The following is a 24,188-nucleotide window of genomic DNA, read 5'->3' as shown; positions in this document are numbered from 1 at the left end:
GGAATTTTACTTTTATTCTGAGATAGGAATCTGTTGGAAGGATTTGAACAGGTGATTGAATATGTTAGGAACTTTGAGGTTGAGTTGAGCTTCTAAGATGATTGAATGGTGGGATGAATCTGTTGTGTAAGTAAGAGAATACCAATTTGGCAGGAAGAAAACATATTCTGCATCCCTCACTGAATTCAGTAATAAATAAAAAATGTGTACATGTGATTAAAAGAAGGTGAATTGATATGTGTGGTGATAATTTTCAAAGTAGGTATGTTAGAGTTAAATATTATTAACATAATTTAATAATAAGGCAATTTATAAAATTAGTAACAAAAATATTTTCTCAGGTGGTTGTGAGACAACTTCAACAAGAAGCGGCTGACAGCTTAAAAAAATTAACTATGTTAGAGTCTCCACTGGAAGGTATATCACATTATCACATTAATTTGGATGAGATACAGGCCCCAAAGAAGAAATTATTTCAAGTGGAAAGTCAGTATGTATGGAGCTTAACATGTCAACTGTATTCTGTAGCTAGTTGAATTATATAACATGTTTTAGGATACTAATTTTGGCAGAAGCTTGATTTTTTATTTTCATTACAATGAATTATTTCCATTTTACTATCTTTATAATGTACTTATTTTTTTTATATTGTGACTTTCATTCTACCATTTTGAAAAACCATTACATACGTTTTCTCTTACAATATGTACCCTTGGAAAAGTTGAGAATTATACATCATTCCTCATAGAAAACTGACTTTTTTCCTGTTAAAACAGTATTTTTAAGTAATTTTTGTATTTCTCGGATGAGGCAGGCCAGATTAAATCAGAGGAGAATGTTTCATGGAATGTTCCAGAAAATTGTCTTATTTCTTCACTTTTGTGAATGGACACAGAATCTGTGTCTATTTATTTCACAGATTCTAGGTTAACTTGTACAGAAAGGCCATTATACTATTCTTTGAAATGTGCATGTTTTAGGTTAATTTACAAACTATTTGAAAAGTTAGGCATTTTCTTTGTCTTTTATTTAAAATATACTATAAAACTGTAGAAATATTTAAATTTGAGATAGCATGTACATCAAAAATTGAGAGTTGAGAAAATTATCTTGATCCTGCCTTTGGATTTTAAAAACAGTTTCACTGAGATAACATTCACATTTCAGAGAGTTCAACCATTTAAAATGTACAACTCAGTATCTATTAGTATATTCACAGCATTTTCATCACCCTGGAAAGCAACCCCACATCTCCTAGGCATGACTGCAGCCTTCCTCCATGTCCCTCCACCTACCCCTGTTGTAGGCAACCACCATCTATCTACTTTTGTCTCCATATGTTTGCCTGTTTGGCATATTTCATATACATAGAGTTATACAATATTTAGTCCTTTGTGACTGGCTTTTTCACTTAGCATAATGTTTTCAGAATTCATGTCTGTTTTAGCACACTTTGGTAGTTTATTTCTTCTTATAGTTAAATGATATTCTATTCCATGGCTATACTGGTTTTCCATTCATTCATCGATTGATGGACCTTTAGGTTAGTTTCCACTTTTTAGCTATTATGAAAAATGCTGCTGCAAACATTCACTTACAGGTTATTATGTGGACACGGGTTTTTATTTCCCTGCCATTGGACTTTATCCTCAGAGTTAATTGGGCAGATATCAGCACTTGTCTTGCTTATGCTATCCTTTCTGCCTTCTCAGTCTCTGTTCATCTAGCCTCATTCATTCAGACGTGGCAGACAATTTATTGTTTTCATGAAGCTTTCTCTGAGTGTTCTCTCATTGACTTTATGCGTTAGCAATCGTTGTCTAGTCTGTGCAGAAAAACTTAATCCTTAATTTTACATGGCTTTTATTTTTTTATGGAAGATAATTTTCTCTCATTATAAATTTGCTTAATGGGGGAATAATATATAATATGTATGCCACCTATCCTTGCATACATTGAAAATATTTTAGCTTAGAAGTTTGCAGCATTCAATTCAATCCTTTATGCCATACGAATTGTTTCTGCTTTGAGACCTTGACACAGTAAAGTTTATATTCTAAATGTATTTTTAGCAATTAAATATCAAATCTAAACCAATTAGTCTAATACAGGAGATGCATTCAATCACGTGTTTATGTTTTTCTCTCTATGAAAAAGAATCTAAATTGGCGTTTTTTCACTATGCAGTCAGAACTGTATTTCTGGACTGTTACCAGTTTGTCAGCTGAACAGTTCTGGCTGTAGCTTCTCTGATGACGGATAGCACAGCCCCTCAATCTGAGTGCTCAGCAGAGTGCTTGTGAAGGCAGCACCACAGCAACAGTTGCTCAGAGTTAACGGATTCAGGAGCCTTGATTTAGCAATAGAGTCCAGGGTTTTCAGCTCAGTGTCTTTAGTCTGTCTTTGCTGGTCATGTCAGTTATGTACTATTCAATCCAGGAGGTGCTGTTTACATTGTAGTACATACATAGTCATTGACTAATGAATCATACAGAGAGAAAAGTAAGTTATAAATTATGTCCCCCATTTGCTGCAACTCTCAGTGGTAAGAATGATTCAGTTCAGCTATAGGAGAGTACTTCCATTGGCATGCCACCTGCCTACAATACACAATTTTGTTAAGATATACAATAAAATTATTATGCTAATAGCAAATATTTTATGTAGCTCACTATGTTCCACATAGTCTTCTAAGTGCTTCATGTTAGTCTCCAGTTAAACACCTGGATTTGGAAGGCTGAGGCAGGAGGATCGCTTGAGTCCAGGAGTTTGAGACCAGGCGGAGCAATATAGTGAGACCCTGTCTCTAAAAAAAAATTTTTTTTTAAACACTTAGCTGAGGCATGGTGCTGCATGCCTGTAGTCCCAGCTACATTGGGAGGCTGTGGTAGGAGGGTCGTTTGAGCTTGGAATATTCAGGCTGCAGTGAACGGTGATCAAGCCACTGCACTCGAGCCTGGGTAACAGAGGGAGACTCTGTCTCATAAATAAAACGTTTTGTATAGATTCCCATAGAAGTGAGTTAGACATCAGACATAGAATTATTAGCCACTTTGATGTCTACCTTCGGAGTAAAACATATAATAAGGGGCAGCTTTAACCATCTCAATCAATAGCCTCCAACTTCTCGAGAAGGTTCCTATTTCATGAATTTCTAAACAAGAGACAACCTGGATTAAGACATTTGGTGGACACCATTTTGAGATGAAGAATCTTGAGTGGGAAGAAGGGAGATCTCTACTTACTGAAGCTTCCCAATGACATAGTTAAATGTCCCCCAAAAGAAACTTTAGAACAAACCTTTCATCATGCCATATCTCTATGGAAAAGGAATTTCTTTAAAAGAAAACAAAGGCAAACAATTGATAATCTGATTCACATGGGAAAGTTTTCAATATAAAAGAAAAAGAGGGCTGGCTACCATGGCTCATGTCTGTAATCCCAACACTTTGGGAGGCTGAGGTGGGTGGATTACCTGAGGTCAGCATTTCAAAAACAGCCTGGCCAACATGGTGAAACTCTGTCTCTACTGAAAATACAAAAATTAGCCAGGTGTGATGGTGTGCACCTGTAGTCCCAGTTACTTGGGAGGCCGAGGCAGGAGAATCACTTGAACCCAGGAGGTGGAAATTATAGTAAGCCGAGATGGTGTCACTGCACTCCAGCCTGCATGACACAGTGTGACTCCGTCTCAAAAAAAAAAAAAAAATTAAAAATGTAAAACAAAAAAGGGACAAAGTATACTGGTCCAAAAAAGAAGAAAGAAAGAAAAAAAGGACAAAGTATGCTGGTTAGTATCATAACAGTGAGATAGTCCCCCTTTGAGATTAGAAAATAACAAAGTAACATTAATGAGAGCCAACATAAAATAGACAAGATTCACTATCTACAAAAGTAATCTGCACCAAGTAGCAATGTATGAGCGTGTGGTTGAGAACATTGTCTATAATATGTGTACTAGAAGGAAGAGACCTCAAGAAGAAGTTCAGAGCTGGAAATATAGATTAGGGAATCTAGGTCAAAGTTTTGAGATTTTAGGAGTCCTGAGAGAATGTAAAAAGTGAAATAGCCACTGGGCATGGTGGTCAGACCTGTAACCCCAGCACTTTGGGAGGCTAAGGCAGGCAGATCATGAGGTCAGGAGTTCAAGACCAGTCTGGCCAACACAGTGAAACCACGTCTCTACTAAAAATACAAAAAATTAGCTGGGCGGGTAGCACATGCTTGTAATCCTAGCTACTTGGGATGCTGAGGCAGGAGAATAGCTTGAACCCACGAGGTGGAGGTTGCGGCAATCTGAGATCATGCCACTGCACTCCAGCCTGGGTGACAGTGGGAGACTCCATCTCAAACCAAAAAACCAGAAAAGGATAGGGCTGTGGAACGAGGTTGCTAAATTTAGAAATGATCGGGGTCAGAGGAATAGAAAAGGATAGGGCTGAAGAACAGAGATTGCTGCATTTAGAAAGGAAGTGGGGTCAGAGGAATAGAAAGGGTTAGGGCTGAAGAATAGAGGTCACAGCATTTAGAAAGGAAGAGGGGTCAGAGGAGCAGAGGGAGCATTTGGTCACTGCTCTGCTGAGCAAAACAGGATAAAGTCCTTCATGACCCTTGGGCTTTTTTATTGGAATTATTAAAAATCAGATTTCAGTATAAAAAACACAATAAGTGATGAAAAATAGATTTCTGAATGAGACCATGTGTCATAGAGTCCAATGGAAGGGGAGAAACAGGATAATAGAAAAGCCACAAAAAGTAGACAAAAGTTGTTTTTGTTGATTATAGAAAAAATAAACTTTATTTAAAGAGAAATGGTTAAGAGAAAGGGAAAAACTGAAACCTATGGGTGAATACTTAGAATGACAGTATTTAGCTCAGCCTGAAGACAGATGAGGATCAAAAATGTAATGGGAACTAGATAAGAGTTTTCTAAAAATTGTCTTAGTAAGATGTAATTTAAGAAAACTTGGAATATCTTAAACTATTAAAGACAATGTTTATAGAGCATCTTTAAAAACTAAAATGTAAATATAACTACTCTTTTTTTTTTTTTTTACTAACCCTTAGTATTTTGTGTGTAAAAACCCTCATTTGTAACAAACATTTTTGGCAGTTTAAATTTCAGAAAAGATGATGAAAATTTGAATCATTTTTAGCAGTTTTAAGAAAAGTGACTATTTTTGAAATCTGCCCTTATTGGCATCAGGTTTATAAAATGCACTTTATACACCTGCCTATATACATATTACTCATCCACTTATGAGAAATAATATTTTTGAGATAAAAGAGGGACTCTAGATTTTACAAAAATAATTTTAAACACTTTTTTTAAGCCTGAAGAAAAAAATGAAGAATTAAGAAAACTTTTTGAGTTAATATCATCACTGGAGTATAATGTGGATCGAATAAGAAAGAAAAATCATGAATTAGAAGAAGAGGCAACTGGGTATGGTTTTCATATTCTAGAACATGTTAACCACTTATTAATTGATTTAGCTCTAATTTTACTTGACTAAAACATAGATACAAATTCATTTTATGTTTGCATTTTCATAATTAAATGAATTCTATTTTAAAATGTATTTCAGAAACTCACAGCACAACTTTTTAGACATTTGTGTCATGGGGTTGGGAGTCAGCTGAGCTGCTGGGGCAAGGTGAAATTTTTTTTGAATGCCAAAATATTCTTTTTTTTTTTTTTTTTTTTTTTTTTTTTTTTTTTTTGAGAAAGAGTCTGGCTCTGTTTCCCAGGCTGGAGTGCAATGGCACGGTCTTGGCTCACTGCAACCTATGCCTCCAAGCAATTTTCCTGCCTCAGCCTCCTGAGTATCTGTCATTACAGGCATGTGCCACCAGGCCCGGCTAATTTTTGTATTTTTAGTAGAGGCGGGGTTTTGCCAAGTTGGTCAGGCTGGTCTCAAATTCCTGGCCTCGAGATCTGCCCACCTCGGCCTCCCAAAGTGACGTGAGCCACCATGCCTGGCCACTTATTCTTTAATGATTTTGAGAACAATGACCAAGCCTTGGACATATAATGTCCAGTACACTCTTCATTATCTAGTTTGAATTTTTATTTCTGAAGATGTTTTTTGCTGTCTGTGGTCATTTTTTCTTTCTTTTGTAGTATCCTCTGCTGCATTCAAATTCTTCAAAGAAGACCTGTTTGTGTCATTCTTTAACAACAAATTTATCTTGATATGTAGCTTATATTTTGTTTCTGCTTCTTTTTCTTTTAGATATAAAACATATCATGGAAATTTACTCATTGTACATGAGTACCTCTGTTGTATACATGAAGTATACATGTTATTAAACTTGTTTTACATAAATAAATTTCATATATATAAAAATATATGTATAACTTGAAGAAAAAGTAAAATGAACATTCATGCTTTGATCACAGATTTTTTTTAAAACAATGGAATCTGTCTTTGAAGCCCTGAACACAGCTACTTTTCTATGTATTTACTGAGCACTTAATTTGGTTTTCTGATTCTAATCAACATTTTTCTGTCATTGCCTTTCTCTACATGGTTTTGTATCTCTTTCATTTTGTTGACATTATGTCAGCAAAGGTGTCTAGATCTCTTCTTCAAAGTCTTTAAATCGTCTCACATCTCTCTGCCCCTTTCCTTTTTTCTAAAACTGCCTGTTTCCTTTTTCTCCTCAACTCAGATATTAAAGATGTTTTCTTCTCTTTTTCTACATTGAATGATCTCCTTGAGGCTTTTTGTGTGTACTTTTTCTTCTTCTGAGAGACTGTGGCCAATGGGCATCAAAATGTATTTTTGTGTCTTTTTCAAATGTATGTGTTTTACTTTTTTATCTTGGTTACTCATCTCTGGGTTATGGCTTATATTTAGTAATAGGTTATTTTACCTAGCATACCAACATGGACTTGAGTAGTTTATTTACAAAAAGTGTATGGTTAGGCCAGGTGTGGTGGCTCACACCTGTAATCCCAGCACTTTGGGAGGCCAAAGTGGGTGGATCATTTGAGGTCAAGAGTTCAACACCAGTCTGACCAGTGAAACCCTATCTCTACTAAAAATACAAAATAATCCAGGCGTGGTGGTACACACCTGTAATCCCAGTTACTTGGGAGGCTGAGACAGGTGAATCACTTGAATCCAGGAGGCAGAAGTTGTAGTGAGCTGAGATCACACCATTGCACTTCGGCCTGGGCAACAAGAGTGAAATTCCATCTCAAAACAAAACAAAACAAAAACACTGTATGGTTATAATATCACTTTATCTGCCATTTATGTCATAAAATTGTTCTTCATATTATTTATCTAAGATTATAATTTCATATAGAATGCTTTAAAACTATGTTCAGTTGAAACTGAAAGGAACATAGTTTATAGATTTGTTTCTTTGATATGCCATAACATAATATATGTTTAAACAATTATTAAATATTTACTCTTAAAAATACTTGACTTACTAATTCTGTATATTTCTGCAGATATAAGAAACTCCTGGAAATGACAATAAATATGTTAAATGTATTTGGAAATGAAGACTTTGTTTGCCATGAAGACTTAAAAACAGATCAACTAAAAATGGATATTCTGATTAAGAAGCTAAAACAGAAGGTAGTTTTTTTTTAAAAATCTTAAGGTCTAGATTACATGTGTGAGACGTGCAGGTTTGTTATATAGGTAAACGTGTGCCATGATGGTTTGCTGCACCCATTAATCCATCATCTAGATTTTAAGCCCTTCAGGCATTAGTTACTTATCTTGATGCTCTCCCTCCTGACCCCAACAGGCTCCAGTGTTTGTTGTTCCCCTCCCCGAGTCCACATGTTCTCATCATTCAGCTCCCACTTATAAGTGAGAAGATGCAGTGTTTGGTTTTTTCTTCCTGCATTAGTTTGCTGAAGATATCAGCTTTGGGTTCATCCATATCCCTGCAAAGAGCATGATCTCATTCATTTTTATGGCTCCATAGTATTCCATGGTGTATATATACCACATTTTCTTTATCCCATCTATCACTGATGGACATCTGGGTTGATTCCACGTCTGTACTATTGTGAATAGTGCTGCAATGAACATACAAATGCATGTATCTTTATAGTAGAATAATTTATATTCCAACGTATGGTAATTTTAAATCAGTTTTGGTATTAAAAATCACGTAATTTTGGAAAATATTGATAATGGAAAAACCCAAATTCTGCCAAAATATGTGGAGAAAATAGAAGGTAAATATATTTTTTCAGACTTTAAATGCCTCAGGCTCTTAGTTAATCTTCCCCAGATCTAGGAAGATCTAGAAGGGGAGAGATTGGGCTACATTAGTGAGAGCCATTTCAATCTCTTGGCCCTGCAGCAGCTATTTCAAAATATGTCAAAAAATATATTTAGGGGTAAAATACTTTGATTTCTTTCAGCTTCTTCTCTCTGTGATGCTGCACCAGAATCAAGTTAGAAAGGAAGCCACATTATAAGAGTTAATACAACCCATCTGATGAGACCCTTTAGATAGAAATTGGGACCAAAGAGAACAAGGTCTTATTCCTCAATATAAGTCTGTCAGTGCTTTAAGCAGTGAAAGAAAGATTTTTCATTTAATTTTACAGGCTTGATACTAATGAAAAGGATAGCTTTTAAAATATAAATCTCTTTTTCTATAGAGGACATGCTGTTGATTCTCTTAGGCCTTGAACCCTGGCCAGTGATCTGAAACCAAGCAGTACCTGTCTCCAGATCACTAGTACCAAAATCACTAGTACCAAATTAATTTGGGGTAGGGGGCAACAGGTTTATTGAGAAATAATGAACACACTGTGCAATTCACTCATTTAAAATATACAATTCATTAACTTTAGTATTTTCAGAGAGTTATGCAGTCATCATTACAATCAATTTTGAACATTTTCATCACCCTAAAAACAAACCCCACATCATTTAACCATCTTCACTAGTTTTCCCTTCCTCCCTCAGCCCTAGGGAACCACTCACCTTCTTTGTATAGATTTGCCTATAAGCCTCTGAAATGAAAAGCAAGTGGTCTGCTGGGACTGGCTTATTTCACTGAGCATAATTTTCCATGCTACATCTGTGCTGTAGCAGGTATTGATGCCGGGCTTTTGCTCCTTGGTTCAGCTACATCTGGGTTCTTCTCTCATGACCAGGAAAAATTAAGCACGCAGACACATTGAGGAGGACAAAATTTATTATGTGAAAGGAAAGCTCTCAGCAAAGAGAGGGGTCCTGCAAACAGGTTTCCACCTCACAATTGAATACCAGGAGCACATGAGCTGAAGCGGCCAGGTTCCTCCTCTGCATAAGGCGTGAATTCCTGGTGACTCCACCCCATCCCCCCAGTACATGTGGGCCTCCGGTCTGCTGCAGGCATGTCCAGGCAAGACAAGTCCAGGTTCTCTTATCTGCACATAACATCTGGTGTAAACACTTGTGGGGCTGGTGGGAGATTCTCTGGGGACCCTTCCGTATCTGCCTAGGAATTTTGCTGTCTCCTCCTAATACAGTATCTGTACTTAATTTCTTCTTATTGCTGAGTAATATTCCATTGTATGGATACATCAAACATTTTATTTATCCATTGGCCAGGTGATGGACCTTTGGGTTCTCTCCCACCCAAAGGTGATAGACGTTCCGGTTCATTCTACTTTTTGACTCCTATGAATAATGCTGCTGTAAACATTTTTGTATGAGTTTCTGTGCTTGTGTATGTTTTTATTTTTCTGGAGTATATACTTATGACTGGAATTTCTGGGTCATATGGTAACTTCATGCTTAACCTTTTAAGGAGCTGCCAGTTTGTTTTCCAAAGTGGCTGTGTCATTTTACATTCCCAGCAGCATTAAATAAGAGTTTTAATTTCTTTACATTTTTCCTAACACTTACTCTTTTTTCTTGAACAAAGATTTTATCCTGTGATGTGAAGTGATGCCACATGTGGTTTTGATTTACATTTTCCTAATGACTAATTACGTTAAGCATCTATTAATGTGCTTATCCATCTTTATATCTTCTTTGCAGATATATCTATTCAAAATCTTTGCCCATTTTTTAAAATTGGGTTATCTTATTGTTTATTAATTGCAAGAGTTATTTATATTTCCTATATATGTAAGTCCTTTATCAGATATACGCTTTTCAAATACTTTCTTCTACTTGGCGTCTTACCTTTTCACTTCTTGATACTGTCTTCTCAGGCACAGCAGTTTTCAATTTTGAAGTCCATTGAATGCATTTTTCCTTTGGAGTCATAGCTAAGAAAACACTGCCAAATGCAGTCACAAAGATTTATGCCAGTGTTTTCTTCTGAGGGTTTTATAGTTTTAGCTGTTACAGTTAACTGTTTTATTTTGAGTTAATTTCTAAATAAGATATTTGGTCAAATTTTATTTATTTTTTGCATATGGATACCCAGTTGTCCCAGCATCATTTGTTGAAAAGACTATTCTTTTCCCATTTTGTTCTTTTGTTAAGCTTGTATAAAAGCAATTGACTGTAAATGTGCAGGTTTATTTTTAGATTATCAGTTCTTAGCTTGTTTATGTCTATTCTTATGTCAAGGCCCAATCGAATTGAATGAGAAGTTTTTTTCAATCATGTTGCATATTACCAGTTGTCTTATGTCATAATAAAAATTAAATTTAGTGGAATATCTTTAACTTCACCTTTTGTGTCACAAAGGAGTCTCTGGCCAGCTTATACCTTACTTCTTCTAAGACATGATCAGAAGCCAGGCTTACAAGGCACACTTAATTTCTTTTTTCTCCATTTAAACCTTTAGTCTCTTTTCCATTGCCTCCCACTATAGTTATATTTTCAGTAAGTTTTGGTCACAGGATCTGCTGACATAGTCTAATATTAGTGCATTATGTTTTACTAACTCATTATAATTCATAGAACCTTCCATAGATGTTTACCATCTAGGAAGGAGAAGTTTAAGTCTGAACCACCAGCTTTCCTCAGTGGAAATCAAGTGAAGTAATCATCTTGCAGTTTACAGACCCTCTTTCCTCCTGGTAGCTGGTTCTCTTGGGTAACACTGTGGCTAATCCTTTTCTTAGTGCAGATCTTGCATTCTCAGAAACCACAGTTCCCTGTATTGACCTCCTTTTACTGAAACAGAGATGCACAGCTCTGCTTTCTAGCTCAGTAGAGGATTCTTGGAATAAAAAGTTTAACTCATTCCAAGAAAAGGTCTTAGGAGTGCAGCACTTCAAAATCAGGTAATGTTCAGGCAATTTATCAGAGACACATAGTAGATTAGTATTTTGACTTTCAAAATTTCAGAGCCAAGTTGTGTGCTATAGAGAAGCATTGTGGCATAGCATAGAGATGGGATGGTCTTTACTTCTCCATACAAACAAGCTTGGAGTAAGGTAAAGGAGAAATTGCATTTGATGTCTTAACACTCAAAACACACTATGCTTATTTTACTTCTGTGAAGACTAAAAATCATTCCATAATATTCTCCTTATTTCCTCATTTAGAAAAGAAAATGAAAATTGAATACTAGGTTGATTAATAAACACTCAAATCTTCTTCTTTTAGAATTTTAGTTAATTGAAATCAGGTAAATGTCTGATTTTGGCTATGTCACCAAGTATTTCTAATTGTTTTTCAAATCATACATCTTCTTGCTTCCCAGTCTTATTTCCTAACTTGAGGGGAAATTGTAAAGAGACACCCTTGCCTTGTTATCAGAGCTCATAATTGAAGGAGTTTTAGGAAAATTCCTCCTCAGCAGCTTATGTCTCTCTCCTGGTTATCTGCTGCTTCTCAATAATGTTTGACATCAATAAATACATATCAACATTTATTAGATCCTGCTTTAAAGGAGACTCTTTTCTGCTGCATAAGTTATGTTTCCTGTTGTCTCTTTTTAAAACTTATTTTCCTAACAATTACCCAGAGTTTTGTGGCTTGAAAGAAAAACATTTATTTTGTTCATGAACCTGTGGTTTGGGAAAAACTTGGCCAGGACAGCTTGTCTCTGCTCCCTTCAGCTTCCCTAGGAACAGCTGATCAGTTGGGGAAATGGAATCCTCTGAAGCTTTGCTCTCCCACGTGTTTGATGGTTGATGCTGGCCATCGGCTGTAAACTTGGTTGGGACAGGCAGCATGAACACTGACACAGGCACTTTCAGGCTCTCTTTGTGGCCTAATGGCTCTCACAATTGGGGCTGGGTTCCAAGGGAAAACAGTCTGATATAGGGAAGCCACATGGTATCCCTTTCTCTACATTCTACTCATTAGAAGGAAGTCAGTAAGGCTGGCCCATATTCTTTGTTTTAAATGGGATGAATGTAGCTTCTCTTTTGTTTTAATTGACACATATATACATAAATATGGGCTATAGGGTGATATTTTTATACATGTATATAGTGTGTAATGATCAAGCTAACTAGCACATTTACTACTTCAACCATTTTTCATTTCTTTCAATTGTGAACATTCAAAATCTTTTGGCATTTTTAAAAATATACAATAAGTCATAGTTAACCATATTCACCCTACAATGACACAGAACACCAGAACTCATTCCTCTTATCTAACTGTAATTCTGTATCCATTAACCAGCCTCCCCTCCCCTAGTTCTATGAGTTTTTTTTTGTTGTTAAGAGACAGGGTCTTGCTAGTGTAGTCTGGGCTCTGGGCAACTGTAGTCACCCAGACTGGAGACAGTGGTTTTATCATAGTTCACTGCAGCCTCAAACTCTTGGGCTCACGTGATCCTCACACCTCAGCCTCCTGAGCAGCTGGGATTATGGACATGCCCCATTGCACCTGTCTGATTTTTTACTTTGTAGAGATATTTCCCTATGTTGCCCAGGGTGCTCTGGAACTTTTGGCCTCAAATGATTCTCCTGCCTTGGTCTTACAAAGTGCTAGGAAATTACAGGCATCAGCCATATTGCCCATCCCTCAATTTTCCTTTAGCTCCCACACATGAGTAAGAATGTGCAGTATTTATCTTTCTGTGTCTGAACTTAACAAAACATCCCTCAGACTGATCCACGTGGCCACGAATAACAGGATTTAATTCCTTTATATAGTGAATAGTATTCCATTGTGTTTGTGTGCCACAGTTTTTCATCCATTCATTTGGTGATGGACATGTAAGTTGATTCCATACATAAGCTGTTGTGAATAGTGCTACAGTAAACATATGAGGACAGGTATCCTTTTGATCTATTGTTTTCTTTTCTATTTCCTGAATACCCAGTAGTGGGGTTGCTGGATCCCTCAGCAGTCCCATTATTAGTTTTTTGAGAAAACCTCATGTTGTTTTCTATAGTGGCTGCACTAATTTACCTTCCCACCAACAGCATGTAAGAGTTTACTGTTCTCTGGAGCCTCACCAGCATTTGTTATTTTTTTTTTTGTCTTTTCAATGATAGCAATTTATTCAAATTGAAGCAAGATTATATCACATTGTAGATTTGATTTATATTTCCCTGAGGATTAGTGATACTGAGCATTTTAAAAATTATTTATTGGCTATTTGTATTTCTTTTTCTAAAAAAGTATGGTTAGATATGTTGCCCAATTTTAAACTCAGATTTTTTTTTTTTACTGTGAAGTTGTTTGAGTTTTTTGTATATTTTGTATATTAGTGTCTTATTAGAGGAATAGCTTGACAATATTTTCTCCCATTCTACAGGTTTTCTCTTCACTCAGTTGTTTGCCTGACAGAAGCTCTTTAGCTTAATGTAGTACCATTTGTCTATCATTTGTTGTTTGCCTATGCTTCTGATGTCTTACCCATAAAAATCTTTGTGCAGACTAATGTCCTCAAGCATTTTCCCTATATTTACTTATAGTAGTTTGATAATTTTGGACCTTACAGTTCAATCTTCAATCAATTCTGAGTTTATGTTGTTATATGGTGTTGCATAGGAAGCTAGTATCATTCTTCTCCATATGGATATTTAGTTTTCCCAGTGCCATTCATTTGAAGAGGCTGTCCTTTCTCCAGCATATGTTCTTGGCATGTTCATCCAAAATCAGTTGGCTGGAAATATGTGGATTTATTTCTGAGTGCTGTATCCTATGGCCTTTACCCCAAGAATCATTACTTCTTAAAATGCAATTCAAATTAGCATGAAACATTTGCAGTTTAAGGAAAGGCTTATGGCATCAGAATCCTTAATTATAGAATTGTTATTTTGTGTTTTTTTTAGATAGGGTCTTTCTCTGTCATCCAGGCAGAAGTGCAGTGATAATAATTCACTGCAGCCCTGAACTCTGGGTACAAACCATCCTTTTGCCTCAGTATCCCAACTAGCTGGGTCTACAGGCATGAGCCACCATACCCGGCTAATTAAAAAAAAAATTTTGTAGAGATGGGGGTCTCACTATGTTGCTCTGGCTGATCTCAAATTCCTGGCCTCAAGTGATCTTTCTGCCACAGCTTTTTAAAGTGCTAGGATTACAGGCATGAGCCACCATGCCTAGTATAGAGTGTAATATTATTTTCAAAGTCTTATTCCTAGAGCCATTTATTGACTTTGGCCTAAATAACTCAATATGATATCTCTGAAACTTTTTTTGAAATATTGTGGGGAATGATAATGAAGGAAGGGGGTTAGACACTTTTTACTAGGAGATAACTTTGTGCCATTTAAGGAGGAACAAAAATAAATTATCAGAAAAATAAAAGTAAGATGAAGTACAAAAGTTCTGTGGCAAAGATGATGATACTAAAGAATATATTTTTGTGACTCATGGTAGCTTTAACTTTGTTCTTAAAATTCTGAGTAATTTAAGGGTTCACATTTGAAGAATCTGATGCATTACTGATAACATTTTATTACAAGTGAATGCATTTTAAAATTTGCTATTGGTTTTGTATTAGATTATTCTCAGCCTACTTCATTATCAAGCTATACTATTTTATTCATGCAGTTTGATGATCTTACGCCAGAGGAGGAAGCTGTATCTTCAAAATGCGTCAATTTGGCTAAAGACAATCAAGTTATTCAACAGGAGTTATTATCTATGAAAAAAGTACAACAAGAATGTGAAAAACTTGAGGAGGATAAAAAGATGTTGGAAGAAGAAATATTAAATCTTAAGACACATATGGAAAACAATATGGTAGAACTTAGTAAACTACAAGAATATAAATCAGAGCCAGATGAAAGGGCAATACAGGCAGTAGAAAAATTAGAAGAAATCCATTTACAGGTTAGTTGTTTAAATCAGGTAAGTTTACCTGTAATGTACTTTCATTTATTTCACTGTAAATTATATTTTGGAGATATATATATATATATATATATATACACACACACACATATATATATATACATATATATATGTATATATATGTATATATATATACATATATATATGTATATATATATATAGTGTTTCCTCTGCCTCTCTTGTAGCAATCTGCTTTGTAGAGTTCTAGAAAAAAAATGGCATCTGTTTTTTCTTTTAAATATTTAAATTTCCATTATTATTATAAGAAAATCAATCTTTCAGAGTAATGATTCTCATTATGGAGTCATTTGATGATTAAGGCCAGTTGGCATAGGAAAAAATTGTGATTTAGAAATTATGTGACACTTTTGAATTGGTCTTAAGCTACATTGTTCATTAATCACTTTTTAAAATTATGAAAGGATTCTATTACTTTTTATATGACCAGATTACATGAATACTAACATAATTATGATTTCAAATTTTTATAAATCAGACTTAATTGTGAATTCAGTTATTAGTTTTGATATTGCTGAAATATTTTAAGCTTCAGCCTCTTTTTTAACATATTCAAAATTGCTCTTTGAATCACTGACTCAAAATGAAAGGCAACAAACATACAATAATTAGGTTATAATTGTTTTAAAAGTGTATTCTTTTCCTTTGTTTTAGTTACAAGCACAATATAAAAAACAATTAGAGCAGTTAAACAAGGATAATATGGCTTCACTAAATAAGAAGGAACTCACACTTAAAGATGTGGAATGTAAATTCTACAAAATGTAAACTGCTTATGAAGAGGTTACAACTGAGTTAGAAGAATATAAGGAAGCCTTTGCAGCAGCATTGAAAGCTAACAATTCCATGTCAAAAAAATTAACGAAGCAAGTCCAAACATACACTCATAGAAAATGAATTAAGCTCGTTAATTTGTTTCAAAAGCATAATTTTTAGTGAGATGGCTTCAGGATATTACTAGGAAGTGAATGCTAATTTGACAATGTAATTTTGAAAAATAATGTTAGTAAATAATCTTACCTTTAAAATGTTAGTCAAAGATAGTTTTTGTCTCTCCTCTCATTTTTTTTTTGTTTGTTTTTGTATGGCTTTTTCCCCTGAAAAGTCTCATGTAATTAACCTGATCTGTTAGTTTTTTATTAAGTATTTTGAAGCTTTATAATTAATGAAGTGATCCTGTTATAAAATTACTTGTCAGAATTTCCCTAAATAGAAATATTAATGTGTTTAATTTATTTTTCAGTAGATCACAACCTAAATGCAAAGTGGTACTGCTACTCTGGGCACAATCATTTTTGATTGTGATCTTTAGTATTATCATCAGAGGGTGCCTCAAGAAAGACTATTTGTGTAACATATTCAAGATGTTACAGAAAGGCATCCTTGTGAAATAGGGAATAATTATCACAGGAATTTAAAGAAGTGTAATTCACAAAGCAGTTAAAAAATAACACCTTGTTCAGCCTGAAGGGGTGTGTGGAAGGCAGAAAGAACATGCCCCACCTCCAGGGCCTTGGTCACAGTGTTGAGAGCTAATTGCCTTCAGAGATGCTTTAGTTCTTTTTGATCACCAACCAGACAATCTAGTTCTCCCCTAGGAGTTGTTGCTCTGAATTATTCCTCAGTGCCAAATGTTTAATTGGTCCTAGATAATGGGTGAAATGTACAAGGGTGAAATCTAAAACTGGTTTACTAAACACAAGTATTCCTAGATTTTTTTTTGTTCATTTTAGTTTTCTTAACCTACATTAAGGAGTACAACATGATGTTTTGATATAATTATTTCTATTGAAGTGGTTCCTATAATCAAGCAAATCAACATATTCATTTTCCCACATTATTACCCTTTAAATACAAGTATTTCTAATGGAATCTTCAGAATCTTACAAGTAGAGCCATTTTAGAAGGCAGCAAGTTTTGCCTGTTGAGCCATACATGACTGATAGCCATTTCTCTTCACTGTCTACTTTGTTTGAACTGCTTGTTCAGTATAAATCACCTTAGAAACCAAGGTGCTTCTTTAGAACGATTTTAAAATTATAATTCCTTACAACAGGTATGCTCTTACACATCTTCGGTGTGAAAACACTGTTTAGTGGGTAATTTGGTTTACTCTCAGAGCAAGTTTTTAAAAACTGCAAGTCATTAAGAATCATTTAAGGAAAAATGAAATACTAAGCATTTGTCTTTGTTATCTTTACGGATCGAATAAGAAAATAACAATGATCAGCACCAAGCTCCTTATGGAGAAAGAGCAGGTGAAATATTTTCTCAGCTCTCTTCCTACAAGGTGAGGCTGAGAGTCACCTTGTGTTGAAAATCTTACTAGTATAGGACTCAACAGAAAATATATTCCCCAAATGCCAGTAAGAATTCCTACTTCAAACCCTCAGACTTCAAATAACTGCCAGAACTACTTGACTGAGGTTAGTTATATGACCGTTTTTCTTTAGGGTTTCATTTCTCTAGTGTAATTCTTGTTTTTAATTTGGTGAGATACTGAGTTGTTCTGTTGACTTTTGCATGTTAAGTAAAGATCATAATTAGCTGTGTTAACACAGAAAGGAAATGGGAACTTTACATTTTTTAATTCTCTGGAGCTCTCATTTTCAAGAGATATCCATTTGCTAACTTTATTCAATAAATGTGACTAAACTGACACGTTTAAAATGTCTTTAAAAGCTGCATATAGGTTAGGATTTAGAAATTGCATGTTATTGCCTGATAACTGATGATATACTTTGAGATGCTTTGGCTTACTCTCTAATTGATTGTAGTTTAGCTGTGGTTCATACCACATTTTTTTTTCTTTTTTTTGATGCAGTGTCTCACTCTGTCACCCAGGCTGGAGTGTCTTGGTGCCATCTCCACTCACTGCAACCTCCACCTCACGGGTTCAAGTGATTCTCCTGCCTCAGCCACCTGAGTAGCTGAGACTACAAGCACCCACCATTACACCCAGCTAATGTTTGTATTTTTAGTAGAGACAGGGTTTCTCCATATTGGCCAGGCTCTTCTTGAACTCCTAACCTTGTGATCTGCCTGCCTCAGCCTCTCAAAGTGTTGGTATTACAGGCATGAGCCACCGCACCCGGCCCATGTCACTTTTAAAGTTTATTTGCACCGGCCAGGTGCTGTGACTCATGCCTGTAATCCCAGCACTTTGGGAGGCTGAGGCAGGTGTATCACGAGATCAGGAGTTCAAGACCAGCCTGGCCAAGATGGTGAAACTCCATCTCTACTAAAAGTACAAAAAAAAAAAAATTAGTCTGGTGTGATGGTGGGCACCTGTAATCCCAGCTACTAGGAAGGCTGAGGCAGAGAATTGCTTGAACCTGGGAGACGGAGGTTGCAGGAGCTAAGATTGCACCACTGCACTCCAGCCTGGGTGACAGGGCAAGACTCCATCTTGAAAATAAAAAATTTTAAAAAAAGTTTATTTGCACCATCTCAACTCTTCCCACCCATAATCACAACTGAATGATTGGCATCAAAACACTTTGCCACATATGGATGTTTATTATTTAGTAGAATCCAAAATAATTGCATTTTATGAATTAAACAAAACACTAAAATGTTCATTTCCATTTTTATTTTAAAAGCTTTGTGCTTGCCCAGGCACGGTGGCTCACACTTGTAATCCCAAAATTTGGGGAGGCCGAGGCAGATGAATCACCTGAGGTCAGGAGTTTGAGACCAGCCTGGCCAACATGATGAAACCTGTCTCTAGTTAAAATACAAAAATTAGCAAGGCGTGTTGGCAGGCATGTGTAATCTCAGATACTCAGGAGGCTGAGGCAGGAGAATCACTTGAACCCAGGAGACAGAGGTTGCAGTAAGCCAAGAACATACCACTGCACTATAGCCTGGGTGATGGAGACTCCATCTCAAAAAAATAAAAATAAAAAAATAAAAATATTTGTGCTTTTCTTACATAAGAGTACATCTTCTGACTATAAAAATCCTGGAAGAAAACCTAGGAAGTACTCTTCTGGACATCATATTTGTCAATTAATTTATGGCTAAGTCCTCAAAAGCAATTGCAAGAATAACAAAAATTGACAAGTGTGATCTAATTTAGCTAAATAGCTTCTGCACAGCATGAGAAATTATCACGGGATTAAACGGACAGCCTAAAGAATGGAAGAAAATATTCACAAACTATGGATATAGCAAACGCCTATTATCCTATTATCCAGAATCCATAAGAGACCTAAACAAATCAACAAGCAAAAAATAAATAACACCATTAAAAATGGGCAAAGGACATGAACAGACACTTCTTGAAATAACACATGTAGTGGCCAACAAACATTAACAAATGCCTACCATTGCTAATCATCAGAAAAATGCCAAACAAAACATCAGTGAGATACCATTTCACACCAGTCCGAATGACTTTTGTTAAAAAAAATAATAAATAAATTAAAAAAGATTTTGGGGAGGCTGTGGAGAAAAGGGAACACACGCTGTTTGTGGCAATGCAAATTAATTCAGCTACTATGGAGAGCAGCTTGGAAATTAAGAACTAAGAATGACTGTTGGATGCAGCAACCCCATTACTATACTAGGGGTATACCAAAAGGACAATAAATCATTGTAATAAAAAGATGCATACACATGTATGTTCATTGCAGCACTATTCACAATAGCAAAGACGTGGAGTCAATCCAGGTGCATCCACGGTAGATTGAAAATCCAAGGTAGATTGGAAAATTCCATATATACCATAGAATACTATGCAGCCATAAAAAGAACAAAATCACGTCATTTGCAGCAACATGGATACAGCTGGAATCCACTCTTCTAAGCAAACCAACGCAGAAACAGAAACCAAATATCTCATCTTTTCACTCATGTGGGAGCTACACATTGGGTGCGCATTGTCATAAACATGGGAATAATAGACACTGGGAAATAAGAATGGGGAGGAACAGAGTGGGCCAGGGTTGAAAAACTACTTATTGGGTCCTATGCTCACTACCTGTGTGATGAGTTCAATTGTACTGAAAACCTCGGCATCCGTAAATATGCCTTTGAAAGAAACCTACAGAGGTACCACCTTAATTCAGAATACAAACTAGAAAAAAAAGAAAGGTTTACTATAAGTAGAGAATAGAAATTTCTTTTTAAGATAAAATTTATTGAAGTAAAAAATGGATTAAACTTTTATAAAGGGCAGAGTTTTCTAAGAATTTCAAAGCAATCCATTCACTGCAAAAGATGGTTTTAATTACTTAATCTTTTTTTTATTATTATACTTTAAGTTTTAGGGTACATGTGCACAATGTGCAGGTTAGTTACATATGTATATATGTGACTTGATGGTGCACTGCACCCACTAACTCGTCATCTAGCATTAGGTATATCTCCCAATGCCATCCCTCCCCCCTCCCCCCACCCCACAACAGTCCCCAGAGTGTGATGTTCCCCTTCCTTTGTCCATGAGTTCTCATTGTTCAATTGCCACCTATGAGTGAGAATATGCGGTGTTTGGTTTTTTGTTCTTGTGATAGTTTACTGAGAATGGTGATTTCCAATTTCATCCATGTCCCTACAAAGGACATGAACTCATCATTTTTTATGGCTGCATAGTATTCCATGGTGTATATGTGCCACATTTTCTTAATCCAGTCTATCATTGTTGGACATTTGGGTTGGTTCCAAGTCTTTGCTATTGTGAATAATGCCACAATAAACATACGTGTGCATGTGTCTTTATAGCAGCATGATTTATAGTCCTTCGGGTATATACCCAGTAATGGGATGGCTGGGTCAAATGGTATTTCCAGTTCTAGATCCCTGAGGAATCGCCACACTGACTTCCACAATGGTTGAACTAGTTTACAGTCCCATCAACAGTGTAAAAGTGTTCCTATTTCTCCACATCCTCTCCAGCACCTGTTGTTTCCTGACTTTTTAATGATAGCCATTCTAACTAGTGTGAGATGGTATCTCATTGTGGTTTTGATTTGCATTTCTCTGATGGCCAGTGATGATGAGCATTTTTTCATGTGTTTTTTGGCTGCATAAATGTCTTCTTTTGAGAAGTGTCTGTTCATGTCCTTTGCCCACTTTTTGATGGGGTTGTTTGTTTTTTTCTTGTAAATTTGTTTGAGTTCATTGTAGATTCTGGATATTAGCCCTTTGTCAGATGAGTAGGTTGTGAAAATTTTCTCCCATTTTGTAGGTTGCCTATTCACTCTGATGGTAGTTTCTTTTGCTGTGCAGAAGCTCTTTAGTTTAATTAGATCCCATTTGTCAATTTTGGCTTTTGTTGCCATTGCTTTTGGTGTTTTCGACATGACATGAAGTCCTTGCCCATGCCTATGTCCTGAATGGTAATGCCTAGGGTTGCTTCTAGGGTTTTTATGGTTTTAGGTCTAACGTTTAAGTCTTTAATCCATCTTGAATTGATTTTTGTATAAGGTGTAAGGAAGGGATCCAGTTTCAGCTTTCTACATATGGCTAGCCAGTTTTCCCAGCACCATTTATTAAATAGGGAATCATTTCCCCATTGCTTGTTTTTCGCAGGTTTGTCAAAGATCAGATAGTTGTAGATATGCGGCTTTATTTCTGAGGGCTCAGTTCTGTTCCATTGATCTATATCTCTGTTTTGGTACCAGTACCATGCTGTTTTGGTTACTGTAGACTTGTAGTATAGTTTGAAGTCAGGTAGTGTGATGCCTCCAGCTTTGTTCTTTTGGCTTAGGATTGACTTGGCGATATGGGCTCTTTTTTGGTTCCATATGAACTTTAAAGTCGTTTTTTCCAATTCTGTGAAGAAAGGCATTGGTAGCTTGATGGGGATGGCATTGAATCTGTAAATTACCTTGGGCAGTATGGCCATTTTCACGATATTGATTCTTCCTACCCATGAGCATGGAATGTTCTTCCATTTGTTTGTATCCTCTTTTATTTCCTTGAGCAGTGGTTTGTAGTTATCCTTGAAGAGGTCCTTCACATCCCTTGTAAGTTGGATTCCTAGGTATTTTATTCTCTTTGAAGAAATTGTGAATGGCAGTTCACTCATGATTTGGCTCTCTGTTTGTCTGTTGTTGGTGTATAAGAATGCTTGTGATTTTTGTACATTGATTTTGTATCCTGACACTTTGCTGAAGTTGCTTATCAGCTTAAGGAGATTTTGGGCTGAGACAATGGGGTTTTCTAGATATACAATTGTGTCATCTGCAAACAGGGACAATTTGACTTCCTCTTTTCCTAATTGCATACCCTTTATTTCCTTCTCCTGCCTAATTGCCCTGGCCAGAACTTCCAACACCATGTTGAATAGGAGTGGTGAGAGAGGGCATCCCTGTCTTGTGCCAGTTTTCAAAGGGAATGCTTCCAGTTTTTGCCCATTCAGTATGATATTGGCTGTGGGTTTGTCATAGATAGCTCTTATTATTTTGAAATATGTCCCATCAATACCTAATTTATTGAGAGTTTTTAGCATGAAGCGTTGTTGAATTTTGTCAATGGCTTTTTCTGCATCTATTGAGATAATCATGTGGTTTTGGTCTTTGGCTCTGTTTATATGCTGGATTACATTTATTGATTTTCGTATATTGAGACAAGGTCTCACTCTGTCACCAGGCTGAAGTGCAGTGGTGCAGTCTTGGCTCACTGCAACCTCCACCTCCTGGCTTCAAGCAATTCTCCTGCCTTAGTATCCCAAGTAGCTGGGACTACAGGTGAGCATCACCACGCCCAGCTAATTTTTGTATTTTTAGTAGAGATGGGGTTTCCCCATGTTGGCCAGGATGGTCACAATCTCCTGACCTTGTGATCTGCCTGCTTTGGCCTCCCCAAGTGCTGGGATTACAGGTATGAGCCACCATGCCTGGCCATTGTTTAACCTTTGTTCTAATAAAACACTTCCTTTCTAAAACCATGTATATGCAATAGATTAATATTAACTGCATTTTTGTCAGATTACTCTAAACAGCATTACACATATACATCCTCTGTTATCTAAACTTAAAATAAGTAGAAATTTTACTTTATTAATGTGATTATTTTTCTATTTAAGCAAATTTCAAGTTATGTCTAGTCACTAAAAATACTAAAGGCCACATTTTATAAGAGATACCTTATTTTCATGATAATGTTTTTGTTTAACTTAAACATTAATATTATTTTTACTTATTGTAGATGGAGGCAGACTGTGTAGAACAAATAATTAGAGAAACAAAGAGAAGTACATTGCCAAAATTTATTAATTAAATTCAGGTTTATTTTAGAAATAAAGTGTAAATAGCAAATGACATTCCTTTTCATTCTTGGGTTAGTAGATACTACATCAAGCATTTTTTTCTTACACACTTCAAATGAAAGATGTGAAAACAAAAACTTTCACAGAGAAGACTGTACTTATGCACCATAAATTCATCATGTTCCATAGCTTAAACAATTCCTAAGAAGTCTGGGCATCTCTTTTTCACTGGCTCTACACTTTCTTAAGTTTCGCCATCTTCATGGAACTGTCAGCCAGCACACTGAAACGATTCTCAGAAAACAAAGGCATCATCAAAAAACAAAGGTTTTGGTAGAGATTGAAGGCCAACAGACCTAAGACTCATTCAGAAATACTTAGCTGAGCAATAACCCTTCATAAGCAGTCACTTGACAGGTGGCCTTTTAAATCTCCTGTCATTTACTGTGTCAGTGGCTTACACTTGTTCTCAGGAAAAGTTCCATATTTTTCACCATGAAATAAAAACTCCCATGTCAAAGTAATTCTCATCAAGTTACTCAGCCTTGTCTCTCACCAGTTACTGCACTCTGCCCTTTGCTTTAGCACCAAACTGGATGGAGTGGAACTCTGCAGGGCTCTTCCTCACCTCAGGCTCTTTGCCTTCGCCTCTTCCCTCTATCTGGGAAACTTTTCCTTGTCCTTCAGGTATCAATCTATGTTATCTCCTCCACCAGAAAGCCCATGATATTGACATAAAAGTGGGTAGATGT

The 24,188-nt window shown here is 36.0% G+C and overlaps 1 pseudogene across 1 annotated transcript in view; it reads left to right on the top strand.

Moving 5' to 3' along the window:
* The first annotated feature begins 15,983 nt into the window (after positions 1-15,983).
* The window catches only part of LOC112268265 (ankyrin repeat domain-containing protein 26-like), a 54,588-nt pseudogene continuing 46,383 nt past the window's right edge, over positions 15,984-24,188 (top strand). Inside the window, exons 1-3 of the transcript XR_007067756.1 lie at positions 15,984-16,092; positions 17,430-17,647; positions 23,376-23,421. The product of XR_007067756.1 is annotated as an ankyrin repeat domain-containing protein 26-like (transcript). The remainder of the gene's footprint in view (positions 16,093-17,429; positions 17,648-23,375; positions 23,422-24,188) is intronic.

The sequence above is a fragment of the Homo sapiens genome, chromosome 20, assembly GCF_000001405.40.
Source record: "Homo sapiens chromosome 20, GRCh38.p14 Primary Assembly".
In the NCBI taxonomy this organism is placed as follows: Eukaryota; Metazoa; Chordata; class Mammalia; order Primates; family Hominidae; genus Homo; species Homo sapiens.
This window is presented reverse-complemented; position numbering and strand designations above follow the sequence as displayed.